Source organism: Homo sapiens, chromosome 16 (genome assembly GCF_000001405.40).
Source record: "Homo sapiens chromosome 16, GRCh38.p14 Primary Assembly".
NCBI classification, from domain to species: domain Eukaryota; kingdom Metazoa; phylum Chordata; class Mammalia; order Primates; family Hominidae; genus Homo; species Homo sapiens.
Window position 1 is genome coordinate 73,061,323 of NC_000016.10, and position 25,672 is coordinate 73,086,994.

A 25,672-nucleotide genomic window follows, 5' to 3' on the forward strand; every position below is an offset into this window, starting at 1 on the left:
GGGAACTCTCTAGGAGCCTGCAAAGATTCTAGCTTTTTTCTTTCTTGCCTTTTTTTTTTTTTTTTTTTAAGGGAAGGATGAAACATTCCTACAGTCCAAACACAACCTCTACTGTGATTAAATAAATATTTATCTTTATTGTAGCCATTGTATATTTTTACCTTCAGTTTGTCCGGTTTCTGATTATTATTTTAAATTTTTCAATGGCAACAGTTAATCTTTTTTTTTTCCCTTTCAGTCCAAAGGGCAGGTCAGTGTAAAATGTAGCTGACTGAAGGAAGACTGGTAAATTCTGAATTTTTCCATAATACATCAGGTAAGGAAAATTGTTCAGACCCTCAGGAATATATTCACTTCCTTTTTATCTGTCTTCACGAATCTTCATAAAGCTGTTTATTTTTTTAAAGATGTGGTAGAATTAAATTCCTCTTTGTAGATCTTGAAAAATCACTTAAATACTATGTATTTATTTTCTTTTAAAATGTAAATAGTACTAGAAGTGAACTTGCAGCTTGTTTCTTATATAAAACGGTGCGGAGGAAGTCAGTATTTCCTTTAGTATAAGCTATTTGGAGGAAATTCTGGATATAAATGTATTTCATGTTACAATATAGGAAAATGTCAGCTTAATCTGGTAAATACTTATGCTAATTTTACTGAGTGAATTCGTTATAAGGAGGAGAGGTACCAAGCTTGTATGATTGAATAATGCTTAGACGATAATCCAGCATCTATATGGATTATTTTACGTACAAAATGAGAAAAAAAAAAGGAAACAAGAAATTCAGAATCTAAATCTTTCATTTAGCTGGCAAGAGGGCAGAAAATTTTAGACCAACCTGTTTTTAAGACATTTACATTAGGAGGGAAAGTGGAATGTAGGCTAAATATTGCATTGCTGTGTACATTTCTCTAGCTCTCACTCAAATGGATATAGATATAAAAACACAAAAATATATGCATAAAGGGGTACATAAATATACATTTGAATGACTTCAGATGTCTTTGCATTTGTGTGAGTATGTGAATATATCTGTGCACACAGATATACAAGGTGTACATAAATTCAGGTACTGGGCAGAGCTGTGTGAGTGCTCGCTCACTGGGGGCTTGTGTTTCCAGATCTGTTTGAAGCCACTTCTTTGCAAATATAACATAAAAAGGTTGATTTAATGATGAAGATGTGAATGGTGAATTTGAGTAAGAATCTGCTTCCCTGCAATTATCAGAATATGGGGTTGCAATGTGAGCAGCTATTATTTGGTCCAAAGGCTAAAGAGGCAATGGGCCATCTTAAGGGGCAAGGAGGATGAAGGGGTCTTAGGAGATCTCACTTGGAAAAAGCCTAGCTCTGGGCCCTGGGTTTTCTTCTGCAGGGAGATTGGGGACACAGAAGCAAAAAAAAAAAAGGAAGAAAAAAGAAAACCCCGTGTGGAGGCAGGAGAGGTTGAAAGGACGCCTCTCCGTACAACTCCAGAGCTAGATCTAAGGAAGGGGTTGGAGGGTGAAGAATGTGCGAGTCCCTTTTCGAATGTGTATTGTTATTCTAAGTCTATTGTATGTACGTGTTGCAGTCCTTTCATTTGCCACAACATATGGATTCCATAAATGCAGACATGCCGAAGTGCATCTGTCTGGGTAGTTAACATGATCTAAACATCCCTCTTCGTTCCGCTAACTCCGGCTCTTCTTCGGGCTCCTCGGCAGCGCTCCGGGCCAGCCGGCCCGTGCCCCAGGCTTGCAGCGCCCGGCAGCCTCGTCCTTTTGTGGTCTCTGCACGGGATCCAAGGTGCCGCGCGGAGGAGGCGGGCTGCTCGCAGTGCCGGGGTCAGAGGCGCCGCCACCGGCGGCCTCTGCGCGCGCGGGGAGGAAAGGGTTAAGCTGCCCGAGCCCGGGGAAGGGGCTGCTCTCATCCTGGAGCGAGGTGCAGCCACCGGCAGCTGTGATTTAGGGGTCAAGTCCGAGATCACCTTTCTCCTGCCTCTGGAAATGGCAGAAGATGAGATAGGGAGGGAGAAACTAGAGAGTGGCAGCCAGGCGCAGCACGTGGGCTCCATCCATCCGACACCCCCATCGCCCCGGTCCACTCCCTGACCCCCAGACAAATCGGACAGTTCCCTTTTCTGGTAGAGATGCGGGGTGCGCTTCTTCTGAGCGTCCGGAATCGCTCCATCCAAGGCTCTGCCCTAAGGTTAAGCCACTGTGCCCTGAGCCTCAACCACCAGATCTCAAAAGTTTGCTCTCAATGCGCCAGACAGTGAGTAGCTGAGTCTGAGTAAAAATCACCCCCCCTCCCCGTTTACGAAAACCAGGGGTCCCCCTGGCAGGACTAGGCCGTTTGAATGTTGGTGCTAGACCCTCAGACTCCTGTCACAGTCCCCACAGTCGTGAGGGGATGTACACAGTGGTGCCCACTACATGCAGCTTCTTGCTTTGTGCCTGTATTCTTTCTCAGGATCTTGCTTTCCCCCAACTCAGGCGGACTGGGGAATACTTTGGTCAAAATAAATTTTTACACCTGAAAGGTAACCAAAAACCAAATTCAGATGTGTTTCTAGGGTTTTTTCACTGGAAAAGAGCAGAGGGTCTGAAGTCCCCTTTTGTTATGGTTCAGTGTCCGGCCCGCCAGGTTGAGGGTCCCCGCGCCCAGGTGACGTTCTGGGGGCTGTAGGGATGCGCACCGTGCCCACAAAAGGCGCTTTAATTGAGAACGAGCTTCCCAAATCCAACTCCACGAGGATGGCATTTAGGACGACAGCTCTTTCGGAAAGTTACTCCAAGAAAAAGGAGTTTTTTGGTGGGAAAAGAAAACTGGCTCGAAATGACAGAGAGAAAAGGGAACTAGATCCCTGGGGGGCAGGAGGCAGGTGGGGGGTGCGGTGAGAAGATAAGGAGATGAGCCGGGAAGTACACGGACAGGGAGTGTGGGGCGCGGCCAGGGAGGTTCCGCGACGCCCTCCCCTGACTCTCACTCCAGCTACCAGGGTGAGGGTGAATCACCCCGATTTTAGCTTCTGCTTCCAGGGCCAAGAGCAGACCAGCTGGTCTAGAAGGCAGCTGAGGTCTGTCTTCTGAGCCCTGCCGCCCCTAACCCTGCCAGAGCCTCCAAACCGCGGAAATCAAACCAAATTGGCCGCTCAAATCTAGAGAGGTTTCATCCCTGGGGCAAGGGGGAGGGAACAAGCCTTTTTTTTTTTTCTTTTGAACTCCCGATTCAAAAGAGACCACAACCTACTCTTGAGTGTCATCTCCAGTACATGGATTGTGGGTATGTTTCATTCTTTCTTTTTTCCTGTTTCTCAGAAGTAAAACCTTTAAAGAATGAGCCCCAAACTTGGAGCGCCCGGATCCTTGAAAGAGTTCCAAATGATAAAGCCTGCCCTTCATTTTGAATACATGGCGCATTGTGAAAATGCAGGGCAATTAGTCAGTTCCAGGGTTTGAGTCAGATTCCCAGTTTCCTCAGCTTCTTTGCAATGGAAATCTGAAATCCAACCTTGGGGCAGGAGGCGCGGAGCCGGTGGCTCTCCCGGGTTCCACACCGCCTGCACCGCTGGCTAGCGCCTGACTTCCCTTTTGGTGACCTGGTAGGTACTAGAAGTTTGCACCACATGTAAAGCCTGGGGCGAGTGAAGAAGAGAGAGAACTAACTTCATCACAGCGCAACAAAGTGAACAACTTGAGGGCAAGAGACCCTCGGTCGGGCTGTGTTCGCTTTAGGGATTTCCAAGGGCATAACTTGGGGGAATGGTAGAGACTTCTTGCTTGCCAGCCGGAGCCAGGAAAAAAGGAAACCCTGCGATGGGCGGGCGGCGGGCTTGGGAGCAGGGCTGTGAGTGGGCAACTGAGACCTGGCTCCCATCTGCACATAGCCCTCCTGGGCCAGCGCCGGGAGACGGTGCCCACGGTGGCACGTGCATTGTTGACACGCAGACACGCAGGCGTGCGATAACGGAGGGATGCGCGGCTGAACAATCCCCCCACCCCACCCCATGCTTGCATTTCTTGCAGGCATGGCTTATTTAATGGCCAGGGAATTGAGTGCCTCTTACCCACCACCCCCATCCCTTTTATTTTTTGCTGAGAAATGTAAAAAGGAACCTATGCCGTGTACATATTCTGAATAAACGTGAGGGTTTTTTTTTTTCTTGAGGAATACCTAGCGCCATAATTTTGTGATTTAAGGGGGCGAGGGAAATCTTTGAAATGAAGGAAATCAGTGGGGGACGAACTAGCTTTTCCTGGTGTGTGTGTGTGTGTGTGTGTGTGTGTGTGTGTGTGTGTGCGTGTGTGTGTCTCCCCAAAGCCAGTAATGGGATTTAAAATGAGAGATTCCCAGTCCTCGTCCTCCCTCCCATTCCATTTTGCTCTCTTCGCCCCAGAAAACATCTGCGATAACCGGCTGCACGTCTAAAGGGACGGTTTAAAGAGAAACAGGGTTTGGGGAGCGCATCAACTTTCTCTTTTTCAAATAAAGTTGAAAAAAAATTCCAAAGACAATTTAAGCAACAAACGACATCGAACAGATATTTTTCCAAGGCAAAAAATTTCCGATTCGTTGGTTTCCCATTCTCAGAAATAGAGAAAAATGCGAATCCGATCTTCCCGTGCGCTCATGACACGAAATTTGGAGCCCGTACTTGGTTAAGGCTGGTGAGTGCAGGGCAGGGCGTGGCCCCACGGCCGGCAGGAGTCCGGCGCACACTGGGCCTGGAGCGCACTGACTGGGGCTCTGGCTAGCCGGGCTACCCGTGGGGTGGCCTAGGGCCCAGCCTGTGTCAAGGCTGCGGGCAGGGCACTGGTCCCCTGTGGACTCGGGGCGCGCCCTCTCAGCCGCCTCCCTGTTTAATTCCAGAGCTCAGCGGGCTGCAGGGACATTCGACGCCAGTTTCCTCAGGCCCGGGCGTGAGACGCGCCCTTCTCGTGTCTGCTCTTCCGTCCCTCTGCGCTGGATGTTGTATAGCGCAGGCCCCTTCCCTCCCCGCCTCTCGTTCCCAAAACCTTATCATTGAGAATTCGACAGTTGCCCCGAGATGCTGATCCCAGTTCACGGAGCCAGCGTGCGCGTCCCTAATGCCCGGCACACCCATCTCCATTTCGGGACCCTTTTTTTTCCTGCGGGCTCTGGACTCCCGGGAGGAAGCCTCGGGCCCTCCGGCTCCCCGGAGACACCGGCTGAGGCGCTTAGGCCAGTGCAGAGTCGCCGCACTGGGACCCAGGCGCCCCTCACAGGTGCACGTAGGGCATGGCCCAACGGCCCCTCGGATGGGCGGGGAAACAGGCCCGGGCGGAGCAATTCGATCACCCCATTATGCCCCTGCGGATGCCCAGAAAAGCCACGAGGCCCGGGGGACCGCCCCAGCAGTGGTCTGGAAAGGAGAGGGCGCGGCGAGGGGCGCACCTCGCGCCCAGGGCCCACGCCGCCCAGGCCCCGTGCCTGCCTCCCCGTCACCCTAACTCCGCACCCGGGACTGCTGGTGGTTCCCTTCTCTTTCCGCCGTTCTCGCCGGGCTGCCTAGTCTCTTTAGGGCCACAGATGCGCCCTCCTCCCCCCAGCCCCGCGGGATACGGAGGTGAGAGCACTGAGATGGGGACCCTGAACCCAACTGCAGGAGGACGCTGGACCCCTATGTCCCCAGGAGCCCCTTCCAGCCAAGGCCTGGGGAGGGAAGGCGCCTCTGCACCCCTCAGCCCCAGGTGCAAGAGCTGGGAGTGGAGAACCCCCGGGGCCCTGCTCGCCTCCAAGGCAGACCAGAAACCGGGCCCGCCAAGGAGGCGGGAGTGGGTGTGTGGAGTTAGCGAAGGGCCGTCTGGAGGGGTGCCTGTGCCTGCGTGTTTGGTGCTGCACGTCTCCCTCCCTCTCATTCTGTCTGGGAAGAAAAAAGAAAGCGGGCAGATTTGAGCCGACCCCTCTTTCCGCAGCCTGGGAACGCTGCAGCAGGAAGAATTGCTCATAACGACACTTAAGCCCCGACAGTTGAATGCTAAAGGTTAAACTTACAGTCTTCAGGGAAGGGCTTCCTGCCAACTGGAACAGTGGTGCGCGCTGCCACGGGCGCTCCTCCACCCCAGCCTGGCCCCTCCAGGTACAGTTCACATCACGGCTCTTGGCATTTGTGAACTTCAGCGAAGGAGCCCCTGGGTGCTGGCTTGTCCCTGCCCCTCATCTTCAGGGAACCTCTCCTTCCTGGTCTCCCCCATTATTTTGCCTGTGGCTGGTTGAGACCTCAGTTTGTCCCTGGGATCCTGCCCTGTGGGTCCCAACTAGTTCCTGCTGTGCAGTTGGAATGGACCCACCTTTGCAACAAAGATGCACGGTTCACACAGGTGGACACTTTGGAGAAACTGCATTCATCCCTTGTCCCTTTGCACAGAGCACTCAGTGGCCCCTGCAGCTTGGCACAGATAAAACCAAGGCTAATACACTGAATTTAGTGCCCAGCCTTGGAGGGGTCTGCAGAGAGACGCTGGCTGTAAGGAGGCAGGCGGGGGATTGTCAGGTGGAAAGCTTCCCCCAAAGGAATAGCCAAGGGAGTCTCTATTCCACGGACCAAGGGCCCCTCCCCCAACCCACCACCAAATGATGGTAAGGTTCAATTTAGCACCCCTAAAAAGTATATTCCAGTAGGAGATAGATGGTAAAGAGAATGCAGTTCAGCTCTCAGGAGCAAGGGAAGGTGGCTCTTTTCCTACCTCCCTAGAGAGCCCACATTTGCTGAGCACCTACCTTGCCTTAGCTCCCTGCCAGGCACTTTCCAAATAATTGCATTCAGTTCTCCCAGCAACCCTGGGAAACTGGTATTATTAGTCCCATCTTATAGATGAGGAATACCAGATTCAGAGAGGTTAAGTCACTCACTTAAGGTCACACAGCTATTAAGTGGCTCAGCTTGAATTTGAACCTGGGCCTGTCAGGCTTTAAAGCTATTTCTATTACACCAGTTGCCTCTCATCAAGGTCAGTAGAATCAGGGGACCCAAGGGATGAGAAAAGATAGATGTGTAGGGCAGATGGGCTGAGGCGCAGGAAATAAAAATATTCCCGGAAGGGTGCTCTGGTTTTGTATGGATTCAGGGCTAGATTCAAGACTAAGAGACAAGTCACTGATGGGCATGGTCCCCCATGTTATTCACTAAAGGGAAAAAGGCCAAAAGGGACAATGCAATAGAGAAATATCAACAAAATCCTAGGATTACAGGGTTGGAACCCATGTAACAATTGCCTGGTGTGCCCCTTGGTTTTCCAGCCTCGGCTGGCCATACTAGGGAAGTTCATACCAGGCCTTTTTGTTTTTCTTTGTAAATTTTCTGACTGTGTCTGAAGCTCAGACAAGTTCCTTACTTCTGTGAGTCAGCAGGGCTAACAGGAAGGGATGATCAGATGACCAACTGCTCATGAAAAAATATGAGGAAATCCAGTAGACAGGGAATAAGAGCAGGCAGAGACAGACATCCAAAGGCAGGCCCCTTGGGAACTCCTGGTCACTTGAGTGCTCCACTTGCAGGCCCTAAGGTAGGGAAGGCTGTGGGTGGGGCAGCTCCACAGCTCCCTTGAAACAAAGATGATGCCTGCTTTGCCAATATTGAGGTTTGGCCACCTGATGGTCGTCCACCAACTCTGGCCTCCATGCGCACTGCGGGTACTGACCACCCCTTTGGGCGCAACTGCACAAGGGGGAAGGGTGGTCAGTCCAGTGGTATGGGCTGATCACTCCTCGCCGTGCTCGGCTGGGTTGACTCTGACTGATGCTGCCCAAGTATGAGTGTGTGTAACTGGGCAGGACTGGCCAGGCCCACACGGAGAGGTTGCTGAAAGCCTTGTTAAGGAAGTACTTCTGACTAGGCAATCCAATTACATAATGCTGCAAAAATAACTCTGGGCTGGGAGTCTTGAGAGTGACGTATTTTGTTAACAGAGAGGGGTATCAAATATCTGTCTTTTAACCCGAGGGCTGAAAGTACACTTGTGCATACTGACTGGCCTCTCACCCTCTCCCCCAATAAGGGATGTTAAGCGGGTGGCAGGGGGGAAGCAAAAGAAGAAGCAATGATGCACACTTGTTTTTTCCCCTCCTTTTTCCCAGGTGCAACTAAAGCCAACTGTTCAGTTTAGCTATATTCTGCCAGCTCACGTGTCCGTCTACAGAATCGTGCACACCCAAATTAGCCATGCAGTGCTATAAACTGATCAGGGAAGATTAAGCAAAAGAAATGAGGGAGAGAATAAGAAATGAGAGAAAAACAGAATGAAAGGTGGTTTTGTTTTATTTTTTGGTGGGTAGAGAAGGGGAAGGGGTGAATTGTCTCATTATATTCATGAAGACTAGACTAGGACTCCTAGCTTCCCACTAAGGTGACCAACTGGTCCCAGTTTACCTAAGACTGTCCCACATTTAAAACTGCATCTTAGGAACCCACTCATTTCTGAAAAACTGAGTTGGTCACTCCACTTCCCACGGGCTTTGGCCAAATTTCCACCCGGTCAGAAAATAACTGGTCATAATGGTATATCCTGTCAATCCAAAATTGTTCGAAGAGTGATCTAAATGAGATATTTCATCATGGACGCAAAAGCCTTATTTCCAGGCATTTGAAGAAAGATCCATACACTTCTTCCTCCCACTACCATTTTGGATTCTAGAGCTTTCCAGGTGGAAAAATTACCTGCTTCATTCAGTTTGCTTTCAGATAAAGTTTCCAGAGGTCCCTTTCCCATTTTAAAGTGCCCCGAACTCCTGCCATGTTTTGCTTGAGAATCCTTTCATACCATTTTTAAAGAACACTGCTTGAAAGTCATTGTACCTTTTTTCAACTTCTTTTCTGTTGTGGGGTCTCCATTCCTTCCTGGGGCACCAGGGTCACACACTGAACTGTATCAAACTCTTTTAATGTATTCTCATTGAATCTGTTAGCATTTTCTGTTTCCTAATGTTGATAATTATTGCATCTGATCCTTTCACTCTAAACTGCGGCCGTGCAATTCATCCTTAATCTAGATCCATCTGAGCCCCTTCCAAAGAAGACACAAAGATAAGCTATCCCTGGCCCAAGACACTCATAGCATCTGAGCTTAGATTCACATTTGTCCCCACCTCTATTATTTTTTTTTAATCAAAATGTTTCCAAACCCCTTGAGCTAATTATAAAAGCGAATAGCTTTTCCTCTCCGAATCATATTCCTTGACTTGTAAGAATGCAATTCCACTCTGAGACCACCTTGTCGCAGACGTGAAAACCTGCTTGCCGAGGACGCAGCAGAGAGGAAAGGGTGAAGCGGGATTCGTCTCCCGCCCTCCCTCGGCAGGCACTGCCTTTATGGAGTCTATTTCCAGTCTGTTTACCTGGCAAGGACCACGTGACCAATCCAGAAGGAAATGCTGACATCATTGTCTCTCTCTCTCTCTCTCTCGCACATGTGAGCCTCCCTCCCTCCCCAGGCCGCCTGCATTCCGGTATCCATCCTCTCTGCCTCTCTCCAGCGCCCGGTCCCCTCCCCCACCACTCACGCCTTCCACCACTTATTTCTCTGTCTTTCTCATGTCACACTTTCCTTTGTTTTCTTTTCCCCTTGCGGGCTGGTTCCTAGACCGTCTTGCGCGCGCGCGCGCGCGCGCGCGCACACACACACACACACACACACACACACACACATCTGGGTGCCCTTTTCTTTCTCCCTCCCCTACCCCGCCCCCCAACCCTCCCCCCCGCCCCCCGCTTTTCAGTTTTTTCAGATCTGTGGCCATTGAGCCCTCACTCTTTTAAAAACACCTTTCCTCTTTCTCTCTAGATTTGAGATTTCTAAATTAAAAAAAAAAAAAAAAGTCTGGAGGCCTAAAAAGTCTTCTGGGCCAGGGGTAGGGGGAGGAGGGCCAGGCAAGGCTGCGGAGTCCAGCCATTCAATTTCCTGCTCCACTGAGCTTCGAGATTTCGGTGTTGGGGGTTTGGTCAAACATGCTTTCTTTCTTTATTTATGTACAGCTTCTCTTCTTCTAGTCTCCATTCCACGTTTTCCCACCCTGCTGCTGACCAGGCTCCCCTGCCTTCCCCACTGCCAGACCACAGGTCCCAGCAGCTCCTGGCCTTGAGCGGAGGGAGGGAGGGAGGGAGCACGTGCAACTCGCTCCTGGTCTTTTCTCTGCTGCTGCTGCTGCTGCTGCCGCCGCCGCCGCCGCCGCCGATACTGCTGCTCATTCTATCAGGGGCTGGGGAGGCTGCTCAGCATCCTCCCAGCCTGAGACCCGGGGAGCTGGGAAAGCCAGGATGCAGAGAGGAGGGGAGGAGTGGCAGTCCATGCAGGTGCCTCCTGCCTGTTCAAAGGCCTATTTATAGGAAGAACCAGCAGGCAGGGCTCTGGGGTTTGGCTGCTCCTGGGCAGCTTTCTTGGTGCACGTGGGCACAGAGCCAGAGCATGCAGTTTAGAGGAAATGTTTAATAAAGACATGGGAGCCTCAAAGTGTTTATTTATTCTCACAGAAAGGTGGAGATAGGGTGTGCCTGGAAACTGCTTTGAAAGCGGACAGCAAGGTAGTGAGGCCACAGGGTGACACCACTGGGAATCAAAGGGAACAGCTGTCTCAGGCCAAGGGGCACAAGGCAGACACTGATGGGCCCCATTGCTTCCACCTCCCACCCTAGGCTGTTCTGAGTGGGATGATACCCCTTTTAGCTTGGAAGTGGGACATGGAAGAAGATATGAAGGGTCACATGAGAGTGAGACAATTAAGTAGTCATTACTTAGGGGTAAATTCATAATCCCCAGCACTCAGAAAGGTGGGATTCTACCTGGAGGGCATGAGTACTTCGATGGGTATGTTCACCACTGGGTTGGATAGAAAATCAGAAATGTAGGCCAGGTGGGGTGGCTCACGCCTTTAATCCCAACACTTTGGGAGGAAGGTGGATCACTGGAGGTCAGGAGTTCAAGACCAGCCTGGCCAACACAGTGAAACGCCATTGCTACTAAAAATGCAAAATTTAGCCAGGCGTGGTGGGGGCGCCTGTAATCCCAGCTACTCAGGAGGCTGAGGCAGGAGACTCGCTTGAACCCAGGGGGTGGAAGTTGCAGTGAGCCGAGATCGTGCCATTGCACTTCAGCCTGAGCAACAAGAGTGAAACTCCGTCTCAAAAAAAAAAAAAAAAAAGGAAAATCAAAAATATAGGATCCTATTGGAAGACCCTACTAAGACCTAGAGGTGGGACTCTGAATGTTAATATAGTACCTGCCTTCAGTGTTTGGGTTCATTCCTATTTCTTTGTTTTTAGAGACAGAATCTTGCTTTGTCACCCAGGCTGGAGTGCAGTGGCATGATCATAACTCATTGCAGCCTCCAACACCTGGGCTGAAGCAGTCCTCCCACTTCAGCCTCCTGAGTAGCTGGGACTACAGGCACATGCCACCATGCCAGGCTAATTTGTTTTACAAATTTTTTGTAGAGACAGGGTCTTGCTATGTTGCCCAGGCTGGTCTCGAACTCCTGGCTTCAAGTATCCTCCCACCTCTGTCTTCCAAAGTGCTGGGATTACCGGCATGAGCCACTGTGCCCAGCGCATTCCTATTTCTTTCTTTCTTTCTTTTTCTATTTTTTTTTTTATTTGAGACGGAGTCTCACTCTGTGCCCAGACTGGAGTGCATTGGCACAATCTCGGCTCACTGCAACCTCCATTTCCCGGGTTTAAGCGATTCTCCTGCCTTAGCCTCTCAAGTAGCTGGGATTACAGGCATGCACCACAATGCCCGGCTAATTTTTTCTATTTTAGTAGAGACGAGGTTTCACTGTGTTGCCCAGGCTGGTCTCAAACTCCTGAGCTCTGGCAATCTGCTTGCCTCGGCCTCCCAAAGTGCTAGGATTACAGGCGTGAGCTACCGTGCCCAGCCTCCTATTACTTAAGACACATTTCTAGTACTATGCCCATTGAAATGGCCCTGGCAGCCAGTCAGAAGAGAATCCAGTTATTATGAGGCTACCTTCTAGAGACCTGTTCCTTCAGCAAAGTATAAAGACAGCAGGGAGGGGTGTGGTGGAAGAGGTCGGTCATAGATATGTCTCTCCAGGATCAACAGGATCTAAATCCTCTTCAGATATGCTGGAAATCTAGAACTTCCTACAGGCTTTAAACATTTTGTACAAGTTCTAATTTTAAACTTCTAAATGTCATAGGCCAAGGACTTGCTGGATTTTGTTTGTTTTGTTTTTTGAGACAGAGTATCACTCTTTTGCCCAGGTTGGAGTGCAGGGGCACGATCTCAGCTCACTGCAACCTCCACCTCCTGGGTTCAAGTGATTCTCCTGCCTCAGCTTCCCAAGCAGCTGGGATTATAGGCACCTGCCACCATGCCCAGCTAATTTTTGTATTTTTAGTAAAGACAGGGTTTCACCATGTTGGCCAGGCTTGTCTCAAACTCCCAACCTCAACTGATCCACCAGCCTCGGCCTCCCAAAGTGCTGGGATTACAGGCATGAGCCACCAAGCCCGGCCTGGACTTGCTGTTTTGAGACATCGTTAGGTAGATAACTCCGTTGGTCAATGAAATTATTGTTGTGGCTTTTGATTCCAAATAAAACTAGTGCTGGAAAGTCTCAATGTCATTCTCATCATCTCAATATCTCATCATTTATGGAGCCACTGCTAAATTATGAGTACGGAAGGGTAAGGTGAAGCACAGGTTCCCGACTCCCAGCTGTGGGTTTGAGATGCCTCTGTCAGTGAATGTGTGCTCTTCACTTCTTATCAGTTTTTGTCAAACTAAACTCCAAGTGGTGGAAAGATATAAGAGAGGGTAGAGAGAATCATACAAAGCAACCAACCCAGTAGGATTATATGACCTTTATTGTGGCATCTTTCAACTTTGGAGGTATCTGGAGAATAATACGAAGGAGGTTCTTTCTCCATCTTTGAGTCTAGCTGAAGGCTCAGGCTCACTTCCTCACGCGGACCCTGTCCCAGGCGCAATGTTGGAGGTGACCTCACCCAGCTCCTCATATTCAGCTCTCTGAGTGGGTTTCCTGCATTTGTGTAAAACTGTACGGAAACCAAAATAATAGCAACAAGATCCATTTGTTTCACTACAGAATACCTGTGATGATGTGGAAATGCATATGCATTCATAAGTAGATTTGTATTCATGTTACGGATGACCCGCTTGCTTCCCCAAGGATAGGCACCATATGGAGTGTTCACTGTACACATCTCCATAAACGCCCACCATGCTAATTGGTACTCAGTGCTGTACCCATGGGGAAGAGAGGATAATGAGAATGATAATGACAATGATGACGACAATGATGACGACAATGATGACGACACTAAACTGCAGATGCCGATTCCAAGATGAAGATAGTTCTGGGCATACAGACATGCTTAACCAACGAGGAAGGAGGGAAGGGAGGGAGGGAGGGAGGATCAGATCGCATTGAAACACTCAGTGTAAGTCCTAAACCAAATTCCTTCCTTCCTTCCTTTTTTCTTTTTCTTTTCTTTTCCTTTTCTTTTTTATTTGAGACAGGGTCAGGTTCTGTCACCTAGGCTGGAGTGCAGTGGCACAATCTCAGTTCACTACAACTTCTGCCTCTGGGCTCAAGTGATCCTCCTAAGTAGCTAATTAGCCTCCCAAGTAGCTGAGACTATAGGTGCATGCCACCACACTCAGCTAATTTTTGTTTTTTTTTGTAGAGACGGGGTTTTGCCATGTTTCCCAGGCTGGTTTTGAACTCCTGAGCTCAAGCAGTCCATCAGCCTTGGTCTCCCAAAGTGCTGGGATTACACGTGTGAGCTAGTGCACTCGGCCTTTTTGTTTGCTTGTTTTAAAGCATAATTACTCTATTATTACCTACTAAAAGGAAGATAGGCCAGGTGTGGTGGCTCATGCCTGTAATCACAGTGCTTAGAGAGGCTGAGGCAGAAGGATCACTTAAGCCCAGGAATTTGAGGCTGCAGTGAGCCATGATCACACCACTGCATTACAGCCTGAGCAACAACAAGAGAATGATCCCCAACTTGAAAGAGAGGAAGGGAGGGAGGGAGGGAGAGGGGACATAATATCTACTGCTGAGCCTGTGGGCTGGGCTAGAATGGCGTAACAATAAAACAATCAGTTTTCATTGTTGGTATGTTTTTAAAAATATGATTTAGTACCTAATACTTCTCTCTCTCATGGCAAATCAGTGAGGCAGTGTTGGCAGCTCAGGACAGACTCACCTTACACGCAAAGCCTAAATGTCAGAGACATGATCTTGCAGTGATATACAATATAAATAAATTAAAAATATATAGAAAAGTGAATACATACAAGAAAGAGCTACCTAGAAGAATCAAAGACTTTTTTTTTTTTTGAGATGGAGTCTCGCTCTGTGGCCCAGGCTGGAGTTCAGTGGTGCAATTTCAGCTCACTGCAACCTCCGCCTCCTGGGTTCAAGGGATTCTCTTGCCTCAGCCTCCCGAGTAACTGGGACTACAGGTGCATGCCACTATGCCTGGCTAATTTTTGTATTTTTGGTGGAGACAGGGTTTCACTGTTGGCCAGGTTGGTCTCGAACTCCTGACCTCGTGATGCGCCTGCCTCAGCCTCCCAAAGTGCTGGGATTATAGGTGTGAGCCACCGCACCCGGCCAGCTTTTCATCATAAAAATGAAACAAAATTTAGAGAACAGGAAGATTACCAAAGGCTTGGGTTCCAGTGTTAGCTCTGCCACTAACAGCTGGATGGCCCCCAACAAATCACTTAATCCTCACTGTGTAACTTCTCCTTGTAAAATGGAGATAACAGTGCACACCCCACAGGGTTGTTTCAGGATTAAATGAGACTGCAGGTATAAAGTGTCTAGCACAATCCCTGGCACATGGAGGGGGGTCAATCCATGGCAGAAATGATTAACAATATTCTGATATTTCTTACCTGTCAGCATTGCAGGGTTGCAGCGTGAAGATCAAGTGATTGTAAAAGTATTGCATGAACTAGAGGAACTGAAACAAATCTAAGATGTTCTTTTTAGGTGTTACTGGGCTCTAAGTTAAATCTGTTAGTACTGGGAAGTGGAGCAATGAGATAAAGATACGTTATCAAGGACAAACTCCCTATACACAGATACCTGATATACCTCGTTCCAGCCATAAAGTTGCTGAAATACGAGGAATGCAAGTGCCTAGCAGACTTCCTCAGGGGGATGTTGTGAAGATTAATAGTTTAGAATGATGTCACAGTTATTAAGGTGCTTGGATTCCCTCGAGCAGAGGGGATATGTAAATCCAGGGACTCATCATAAAAGTAATATCATCACTGTTTCTCACAGCCGACTGTTTCCTAAGCTGGGATAGAATTTCCAGAAGTATCTTTCTCTTTTAGAATTACAGAGTATGACAGATTTATTTCCACACATCTCACTTGCTTTCAGAGTTATTGTTTCCTCTTATTCCCCCCACCTCTTTGGTGACAGAGAAGCCTGAGAACCGATCCTGTCAGGAATTTCTTGGGGAATTTTCAGAAGCATGTGAACACACAGTATGTGAATGGCTGTGCGCAGCGGCATTAACTTTATTTTATAAAATATGTGTGTGTGTATATATATATGTATACGCACACACACACACACACGACTGATCTTCCAACCATATCTGAATAATCAAAACCATGAATGACAAACATGTCAGATACATTCATCAGAACTCAGAGGATCTTCTAGGGGAATTCACTAGCATGTCTTCCTCTTAAAATAGGTCAGGTAACTATTCCCCTCCTTTGGGACTCTCAAAAAGGATGCGCTAATAAATCTAGGCCCCAGGATAGGAGCTCAGTTGCCCTCTAGACGTCTAATGCCAATCCCCAAATTTTCTGAATTTATTGACCAACATGTTGGATGGAGCAGGTTCAAGCATCTTGCTAAATAAAATATAGATTATATTGATCATTTCCCCTCAATCTACTAAAATCTTGTTACTCTTTCACAGAAGGAAATAAATCAGTTTGACAGGACTTGTTCTGTCAAGTGATATAAGTTCCCAACACTGCATTCACTACAGATTATTCTAGAAATAAATTGGTAATCTTTTTTTTTTTCCAGGTGAAGTTCCAGATTAGGACACTGCGCACTTCCCTGTTTCTTTTTTAAAAATAGAGGCATTAGTCCTGCTTTCTTTCAGTCTTTCCACGTTGTTAAAAATGAAGTGACTCTCCCGTGATTTTAGCCAATAACAACAGCTTCCCTTATAAACAACTTTATCCTGCAAAAAATCTGCTTAGAAAAAAAAAAAGGCATATCTACTAGTGTTTAAGAAACGTTTAAGAGTTCATCCTGCAAAAACAATGAGGAAGTAAATGGTCAAGGTATATGACCTCCACTTTGACAAGCCTATTTCCAGATCTCTCCCATAGATTTAGGTGTTAGATTTAGAAATTATTTCTGAATTAAATGGGGTCAAGACCAAAGACAGACAGAGTAAATTTGCCGATCGTGTCAATCATGTAGATCTCATGCACGTCAAAGCCATTATTTTTCTTTTTTGTTTTTTGTTTGTGACAGAGTCTTGCTCCCAGGCTGAAGTGCAATGACGTGATTTCAGCTCACTGCAACCTCTGCCTCCTGGGTTCAAGTGATTCTCCTGCCTCAGCCTCCCGAGGAGCTAGGATTACAGGTGGCTGCCACCACGCCCAGCTAATTTTTGTATTTTTAGTAGAGATGGAGTTTCATCATGTTGACCAGGCTGGTCTCGAACTCCTGACCTTGGGTGGTCCACCTGCTTCGGCCTCCTAAAATTCTGGGACTACAGGCGTGAGCCACTGTGCCTGGCCAAAGCCATTATTTTTCATAAACACATTGAAAATCCACTAGGCAGCAAAGGAGAAAGACAGGAGAAAAAGTATGAAAAACCTCATTGTTTATTTGTCTTAAGACAAATTACAGTGGCCACAGGATCTGCACCCTTCCTGAAATCTCAGGGCTTCATAAAAACCCAACATTTTCAGAATACGCCTGGCACAGAGACAACCTCGAAGTCAAAGCCCCAACTCTGTCAAGACCAAGACGGGAGCACAAAGGTGGCATCCTTGAAATGAAATTCAGGTATCTTGGGTACTTCTGGGTATCTCTAGGGCTTGGGGTTCCTAAGCTTAACTAAGATACTTGCTTGTTTAAAGGCTCTGGAAGCAGAAAATCCACACTATCCTTCACAGGTCACAGCTTGGTATTTACCAATCTCGTGAGCCTGAAATTTAAGTTCCTTTATCCTTTTTCTTTGGTCTACCATGCCAATTCCTAGCCCAGGTTACCCCCAGCCACCTGCCTCTGGATTGCTAGACAGTGCTGGGATTATAAACCGCGCCTGGCCACTAAAGAACTTTTTTTTTTTTGAGATGGAGTCTTGCTCTGTCGCCCAGGCTGGAGTGCAGTGGCGCAATCTCCACTCACTGCAAGCTCCGCCTCCTGGGTTCACGCCATTCTCCTGCCTTAGCGTCCCGAGTAGCTGGGACTACAGGCGTCCGCCACCATGCCAGGCAATTTTTTTGTATTTTTAGTAGAGACGGGGTTTCACCATCTTAGCCAGGATGGTCTCGATCTCCTGACCTCGTGATCCACCTGCCTCAGCCTCCCAAAGTGCTGGGATTACAGGTGTGAGCCACCGCGCCCGGCCCCTTTGTTTCTTAAAACCAAGATTGGAATGAACTTCAACTTGCCTGTCACATTACCTTATGGTGCCTTTTACCACCTCCTCTTTTTCATCATGAAATATCTTTGTAGCCTTAACTATTATTTCCTTCCTTCTATTCTGCTGTGATTCCACTGCAAATCTTCCCTGATCTCTGGAGTCCAACCCGACCAGGTCCTTCCAGTCCCCTTCTCTTTCACTTACTTGTCTCTCCCCACTGCTGTCCCCACGGCACACCTGCCTCCATCACTTTCATATCTTTCTCTTATTAAATTTATTTTTAAGGCCGGGCATAGTGGCTCACACGTGTAATCCCAGCACCTTGGGAGGCCAAGGTGGGCAGATCACTTGAGGTCAGGAGTTCAAGACCAGCCTGGCCAACATGGTCAAACCCTGTCTCTACAAAAAATACAAACATTAGATAGGAATGGTGGCACATGCCTGTAATCCCAGCTATCTGGGAGGCTGAGTCAGGAGAATCACTTGAACCCAGGAGGCAGAGGTTGGGACAGGGCGAGACTCTGTCTCCAAAAAAAACCAATTATTTTTAATTTTTTAAAAATAGAGATGGGATCTCACTATGTGGCCCAGGCTGTTCTTCAACTCCTGGCCTCAAGTGATCCTCCCACCCTGGCCTCCCAAAGTGTTGGGGTTACAAGCGTGAGCTGCCACACCTGGCCTCCTATCTTTACTCCCTTTCTACTTGGAAACCTACACATGCTGTATTCTCTCCAATCAAACAAGAACAAGAACAGTAACACTTGCCTTGGTTCTACTGCCTTTTTGATGTGCCATCCTTCCATTCATTACCCAATTTCCTGAAGAATCATTTAAATGTGTTCTCTGGCCCTTGCTTGAGCACCTCTGGCACTGTGGACAGCTGGCTCTGATTGTTAGAGAAGATGGTCATTATTTTGAGCCTTTTAAATAGATCCCTTGTGGTTCTTGCCTACTGGTCTTAGTGTCACCTTGTGAGGTCACACAGAGCAAGTTTAATTCCCTGATGCAGACAACCTTTTCCTGTCCTGGCCTCCTCTCTCAGTCTGATCTTTCTGAGCTAGGAACTGCCAGTTTCTTCAACTCTTTTTCACAGGCTCTGCCTCTGAGTCCCCTTTGCCTTCCTGTTTCCAGTTTGACTCTCTTCTTAAAATGTCATGGCCCAATATTAAATGTGAATTATCCACATCTGCTCTGTCTCCCACAGTACAGCAGGATTCTCACCTCTTTGTTCTCCTCATTACACTTTTGCCCAGTACAATTGTGAAAGCCTCCACCCATTAACTGAAACCTCTAAGACAGCGGTTCAGAAAGTGTGGCTCATGGAGCTCCTACTTCAGAATGACCCAGAGAGCTTCATGTTATGGACTGAAAGTTTGTGTCCTCCCAAAAGAGGGTGGAACTGAATGTGTAGGTATTTTGATCACAGCCTCCAGAACTGTGAGAAATAAATGTCTGTTGATTGGGCCACCTAGTCTATGATATTTTGTGATAGCAGTCTGAGCTATCTAAGACACTTTAATAAATGGAGATTCTTGGTCCACACCTCAAACTTGAATCTGACAATCTGGGGTAGCACCTGGGAATCCACATTTTAAACATTTATGCCAGGTGACTTTTTCTTTGTTTTTTTTTTGAGATGGGATCTTGCTGTGTTGCCTAGGCTGGAGTACAGTAGTATGATCAGAGCTCACTGCAGCCTCAAACTCCTGGGCTCAAATGATCCTTCCACGTCAGCCTCCCCAGTAGCTGGGATTATCGGCATACACCACCATGCCTGGCTAATTTTTAAAAACATTATTTTGTAGGGACAGGGTCTTGCTATGTTGACCAGGCTCTGGTCTCGAACTCCTGGCCTCAAGCAATCCTCCCGCCTTGGCCTCCCAAAGTGCTGGGATTTCTGGTGTGAGCCACTGTGCTCAGCCAGGTGATTCTTAAATGTGCCCAAAAGTCTGAAAAGAAAAAAGCTTCAGGTCTTTTCTAATACTTCTTACCAAGCCTGGCTCCCTCCACCCGAGTTTGTGCAGATGGGTTTTCAGGTCCAAGGTCAAGACCTGCCATTTTCTTGTGTTACATTTCACCTTGCTAGATTTGGTGCATTGCCTTGGTCTATCAAAAATCTTTTGAATTCTTTATCTTGCAACATATGATGTCATGATAATCACACATGGACTACCAAAACCTCACTGTCCCAGCACCAGAAATCTCCTCCACATTGATACCAATCACTAACTAATTTGTACTTCATCTTTCATCTTCTTTTCCATGAGATAAATGAGCAAATTGTCTTTCTTTCTTTCTTTTTTTTTTTTTTGAGACAGAGTTTTGCTCTTGTTGCCTAGGCTGGAGTGCAATGGCACAATCTCTGCTCTCTGCTCACCACAATCTTCGCCTCCCAGGTTCAAGCAATTCTCTTGCCTCAGCCTCCTGAGTAGCTGGAATTACAGGCATGCGCCACCATGCCCGGCTAATTTTGTATTTTTAGTAGAGACGGGGTTTCTCCATGTTGGTCAGGCTGGTCTCGAACTCCTGAACTCAGGTGATCTGCCCATCTCGACCTCCCAAAGTGCTGGGATTACAGGCATGAGCCACTGTGCCCGGCCCAAATTGTCTTTAACCATATTATCAAATGCCTCACTAAAGCCCAGCTCTTCTTTGTATTCTCTATTTCCCTGTTCCACTGGTAGATGCCAATTCTGTCAAAAAAGAAAATAAAGTGTTCTCACAGGCCATTTACACATGCATTCTAGAATCTGTGGTCAGGCAATGGACTCTAGTGTGCAGAACTCACCCTTTTTTCCAGTGACGTTGTTCTGGATGTTTATGGCACTTATGTCATAGGACCCTTGACTTGTAATTATAAATGTTCTTGTCCACATCTTTTTTTTTTTTTTTTTTTGAGACGGAGTCTCACTCCATCACCCAAGCTGGAGTGCGGTGGCACGATCTTGGCTCACTGCAACCTCTGCCTCCCAGGTTCAAGGGATCCTCCTGCCTCAGCCTCCTGGGTAGCTGAGACTACAGGTGTGTACCACCACACCCAGCTAATTTTTATATTTTTACTAGAGACGGGGTTTCACCATGTTGGCCGGGCTGTTCTTGAATTCCTGACCTCAGGTGATCCACCCGCCTCAGTCTCTCAAAGTGCTGGGATTACAGGTGTGAGCCACCGCATCCAGCCCTCGTCTACATCTTGATTCAACTACGAGATAAGGAGCTCCTGAACTCTGAGCTTTTATCTTAGGTGCCTCAAAATATCTCATGGTAACTAGCACAAGATCCTACTTGGTAACCTTTCTTTGAATGAATGAATTTTTTTTTCTCTTTTTTGAGAGGGAGTCTCTCTATGTTGCCCAGCCTGGAGTGCAGTGGCGCGATCTTGGCTCACTGCAAGCTCCGCCTCCTGGGTTCACGCCATTCTTCTGCCTCAGCCTCCCGAATAGCTGGGACTACAGGCGCCCGCTACCACGCCCGGCTAATTTTTTTTGTATTTTTAGTAGAGATGGGGTTTCACCGTGTTAGCCAGGATGGTCTCGATCTCCTGACCTCAGGATCCGCCTGCCTTGGCCTCCCAGAGTGCTGGGATTACAGACGTGAGCCACCGTGCCCAGCCAAATGAATGAATTTTACATTTTATTCCCATTAACTTACTTTCTTTTTTTTTGTATAAGATGAAAGCAGATCCTGGAGTGAATACTGGAAGACTAAGCTCCCTAGGCACGAGGGAAGTGGTGTGCCTGGGCAGATCTCAGCAGTCCCAATTGTTTCTCTTAGTCACTGCTCATAAAAATCAGCTCCTTAGAATAAAAGCAGTCTTTGAAATGCAGTGTGATGAAATCACAGAAAGGATGACACAGTTTCTGAAACATCACAACATTACTGGAATCTGTAGTAATGGCCAAAGAGACACAGGAAACAGTATTTAAAACAAAACAAAACAAAACCTGGCCAGGCGCAGTGGCTCATGCCTGTAATCTTAGCACTTTGGGAGGCCGAGGTGGACGGATTACTTGAGGTCAGGAGTTCAAGACCAGCCTGGCCAACATGGTGAAACTCCATCTCTACTAAAAAAAAAAAAAAAAAAAAAAAATACAAAAATTAGCTGGGCTTGGTGGCGGGTGCCTGTAATCCCAGCTACTTGGGAGGCTAAGGCAGGAGGATCACTTGAACCCAGGAGGTAGAGGTTGCAGTGAGCCAAGACCATGCCATTGCACTCCAGCCTGGGCAACAAGAGCAAAACTCCGTCTCAAAAAAGCGAAACAAAAAAACCCCAACACCTTACCTTAGTAGAGCCATCTAAGTCAGCATAACATGCAGATAAAACCTGAGTTATGAGCTTACTGCTAATGAGACCTCTTGTGATGGCACAAAGTGTGTCGGTAGGATGTGACATGGCTGGACAGGGACATCTGGCTTTTCTCTCCATTATGGTTCCCTTCTGTATCACAACTGGTAACACATCTGAATAATTATCTGATATATAAAACACAAAGGGTGAAAAGCTGTAAATGAATGGTGGAAAGTCTTGTGGTTTTCATGGTCAAGTGACTTTCTTTGTAGTCATGCCTTTCCTATTTCTTTTTTTATTTTTTGAGACAGGGTCTCACTTTGTTGCCCAGGATAGAGTACAGTGGTGCAATCTTGGCTCACTGCAGCCTCGACCTCTCGGGCTCAAGCCATCCTCTCACCTCAGCCTTCTGAGTACCTGGGACTACAGGTGCGCACCATCACACCTGGTTAACTGTTGTGTTTTTTATAGAGATGCGTTTTTGCCATGTGGCCCAGGCTGGTCTCAAACTCCTGGGCTCAAGCGATCTGCCCGCCTCAGCCTCCCAAGTGCTGGGATTACAGGTGTGAGCCACCATGCCCGGCCTTTCCTATTTCTTTCCTATAGGCCAGAGAAGATTCCACAGATACCCCAGAACATGCCTCCACTGGAAAGACCACACAGCCCCAGGGTGACACACCTGTTCTACGTGAGGTCTAGGGCCATGGTTCTCAACTGGGGCTGACTTTGCCCCCCACATCCCAAGGGACATTTGGAAGTGTCTGGAGACATTTCTAGTAGTGACAACCGACATCTCATGAGTAGAGGCCACGATTCTGATAAATATTTGGCAATGCACAAGACACATTACCTCCACCAACAAGGAATTATCTGGCTCAAAATGCCAATAGCAATGATCTTAATAAAAATGTCATCAATGAAAGCCTTTAAGATCTAGAACAAGAAAAGAATGCACACTTTCACCATTTTTATTCTTGACAAAGTTGAAGTCCTAGCCAGAGAAATTAGGCAAGAGAAAGAAATAAAGTGCATCCAAACTGGAAAGGAAGAAGTCAAATTATTACTGTTTGTAGATGACCTATTTTAGAAAAACTTAGAAACACCACCAAAATAACCTGTTAGAAATGATAAACAAATTCAGTGAAGTTGCAGGATACACAATCAACATTAAAAAATTAGTAGCATTTATATACAACAACAGCAAACAATCTGAAAAAGAATGTAAGAAAGCAATCCCACAGCTACAAAAATATAAAATACCTAGGACTAAATTTTTTTTTTTTTTTTTTTTTTTTGAGATGGAGTCTTGCTCTGTCACCCAGGCTGGAGTGCAGTGGCACGATCTCGGCTCACTGCAAGCTCCACTTCCCGGGTTCACACCATTCTCCCACCTCAGCCTCCCAGGCTGAGACTACAGGTGCCTGCCACCATGCCCGGCTAATTTTGTTTTGTATTTTTAGTAGAGATGGGGTTTCACCGTGTTAGCCAGGATGGTCTCGATCTCCTGGCCTCGTGATCCGCCCACCTCAGCCTCCCAAAATGCTGGGATGACAGGCATGAGCCACCGCGTCTGGCCATACCTAGAAATAAATTTAACCAAATACATGAAAGATCTCTACAAGGAATACTATAAAGCACTGATGAAGGAAATTAAGGAGGACACAAAAAGATCAAAGATAGCCCATGCTCATGGATTGAAAGAATTAATGTTAAAATGTCAAGAGTACTACCCGAAGCAATTTACAGACTCAATGCAACCCTTATCAAAATACCAGATGTATTCTGCACAGAAATAGAAAAAAAAAGTCCTAGAACCACAAAAGACCCCAAATAGCAAAGCAAACATGAACAACAAGAACAAAGCTGGAGGCACTGCACTACCTGACTTCAAAATATACTACAAAGCCATAGTAACCAAAACAGCATGGTACTAGCATAGAAACAGCCACATAGACCAATGGAACAGAATAGAAAACCAGAAATAAGTCCACACATTTACAGCATTTACAACTCATTTTATTATTATTGTTTTTTTGAGATGGAGTTTTGCTCTTGTTGCCCGGGCTGGAGTGTAATGGCACAATCTTGGCTCACTGCAACCTCTGCCTCCCAGCAAGTGATTCTCCTGCCTCAGCCTCCAGAGTAGCTGGGACTACAGGTGTGCACCACCACGCCCAGCTAATTTAGAGATGGGGTTTCACTATGTTGGTCAGGCTGGTCTTGAATTCCTGACCTCTAGTGATCCGCCTGCCTCGGCCTCCCAAAGTGCTGAGATTACAGGCATGAACCACCACTCCTGGGCTACAACTCATTTTCAACAAAAAACATGCACTGGGCAAAGGACAGTCTCTTCAATAAATGTGACTGGGAAAATTAGATAACCATATGCAGAAGCATAAAGCTAGACCCCTATCTTTCACCATAAATAAACATCAATCAAAATAGACTAAAGACTAAATCTAAGACCTGAAACTATGAAACTCCTAGAAGAAAACATTAGGGAAACACTTCAGGACATTGGTCTGGGCAAAAATTTTGGGAATGAGACTTTAAAAGCACAGGCATCAAAAGCAAAATTAGAAAAATGGAATTACATTAAGCCAGGAAGCTTCTGTACAGCAAAGGAAACAATTAGCAAAGTGAAAAAACAACCTACAAGAATGGGGGAAAATATTTGCAAACTATGCATCTGACAAGAGATCAGTAACCAGAATATATAAGGAACTCAAACAACTCAATTGCAAAAAAAAAAAAAAAAAAAAAAATCAAATTAAAAATGGGCAAAAGATCTAGACAGACAGACATTTCTCAAAAGAAGACATATGTATGACAAATGGCCAACAAGTATATTTTTAAAATGCCATTTAAAAATGCTCCACATCATTAATTGTCCAAGAAATGCAAATCAAAACCACAACGAGATATCTTACCCCAGTTAGAATGGCTTTTATCAAAACGACAAAAAATAGCAAATGCTGGTAAAGTTGCAGAAAAAGGGGAACCCACGTGCACTGTTGGTGGGAATGTAAATTAGTACAGCCTCTATGGAAAAGTGGAGGTTCCTCAAAAGTCTAAAAATAGAACTACCATATGATCTGACAGTGCCACTGGTGGGTGTATGTCGCAAAGAAAGGAAATCAGTATATTGAAGAGAAATCTGCACTTCCATGTTTATTGTGGCATTACTCACAATAGCAAAGATATGGAATCCACCTAAGTGTCCATCAATGGATGAATGGATAAAGAAAATGTGGTATATATACACAATGGAATATTACTCAGCTACAAAAAAAGAATTAAATCCTGTCATTTGAAGCAACATGAATGAAAATGGACTATCGTTAGCAATAATTTTATGTATAGTTCACAGTATCTAGGGCCAGGCATGGTGGCTCATACTGGTAATTCCAGAACTTTGGGAAGCTGAGGCAGGGAGATTGCTTGAATACAGGAGTTCAAGACCAGCCTGGGCAACATGACAAAACCCCATCTGTACAAAAAATACAAAAATTAGCTAGGTGTGGTGGCATGCACCTGTGCTCTCAGCTACTCGGGAGGCTGAGGTGGGAGGATTGTTTGAGTCCAGGAGGTTGAGGCTGCAATGAGCTGTGATGACACCACTGCACTCCATCCTGGGTCAAAGAACAAGACCCTGTCTCAAAAAACAAAACAAAACAGAAAACCAAAACCACAAAACAACAAAATAGCCAGAAGAGAAGAACTGGAATGCTCCCAACATAAGAAAATACAA

At 46.8% G+C, this 25,672-nt stretch overlaps 1 protein-coding gene across 2 annotated transcripts in view, besides 1 other annotated feature; it reads right to left on the reverse strand.

Moving 5' to 3' along the window:
* Positions 1–25,672, reverse strand: part of ZFHX3 (zinc finger homeobox 3) — a 1,109,046-nt gene that overhangs the window by 278,438 nt on the left and 804,936 nt on the right. The window lies entirely within an intron of this gene.
* Positions 3,130–3,751: an enhancer, noted in NCBI's record as "NANOG-H3K4me1 hESC enhancer chr16:73098351-73098972 (GRCh37/hg19 assembly coordinates)". NCBI's record gives its function as "activates a minimal SCP1, AML or CMV promoter by ChIP-STARR-seq in naive H9 embryonic stem cells {active_cell/tissue: H9 hESC(naive)}" and the evidence as "EXISTENCE:reporter gene assay evidence [ECO:0000049][PMID:30033119]".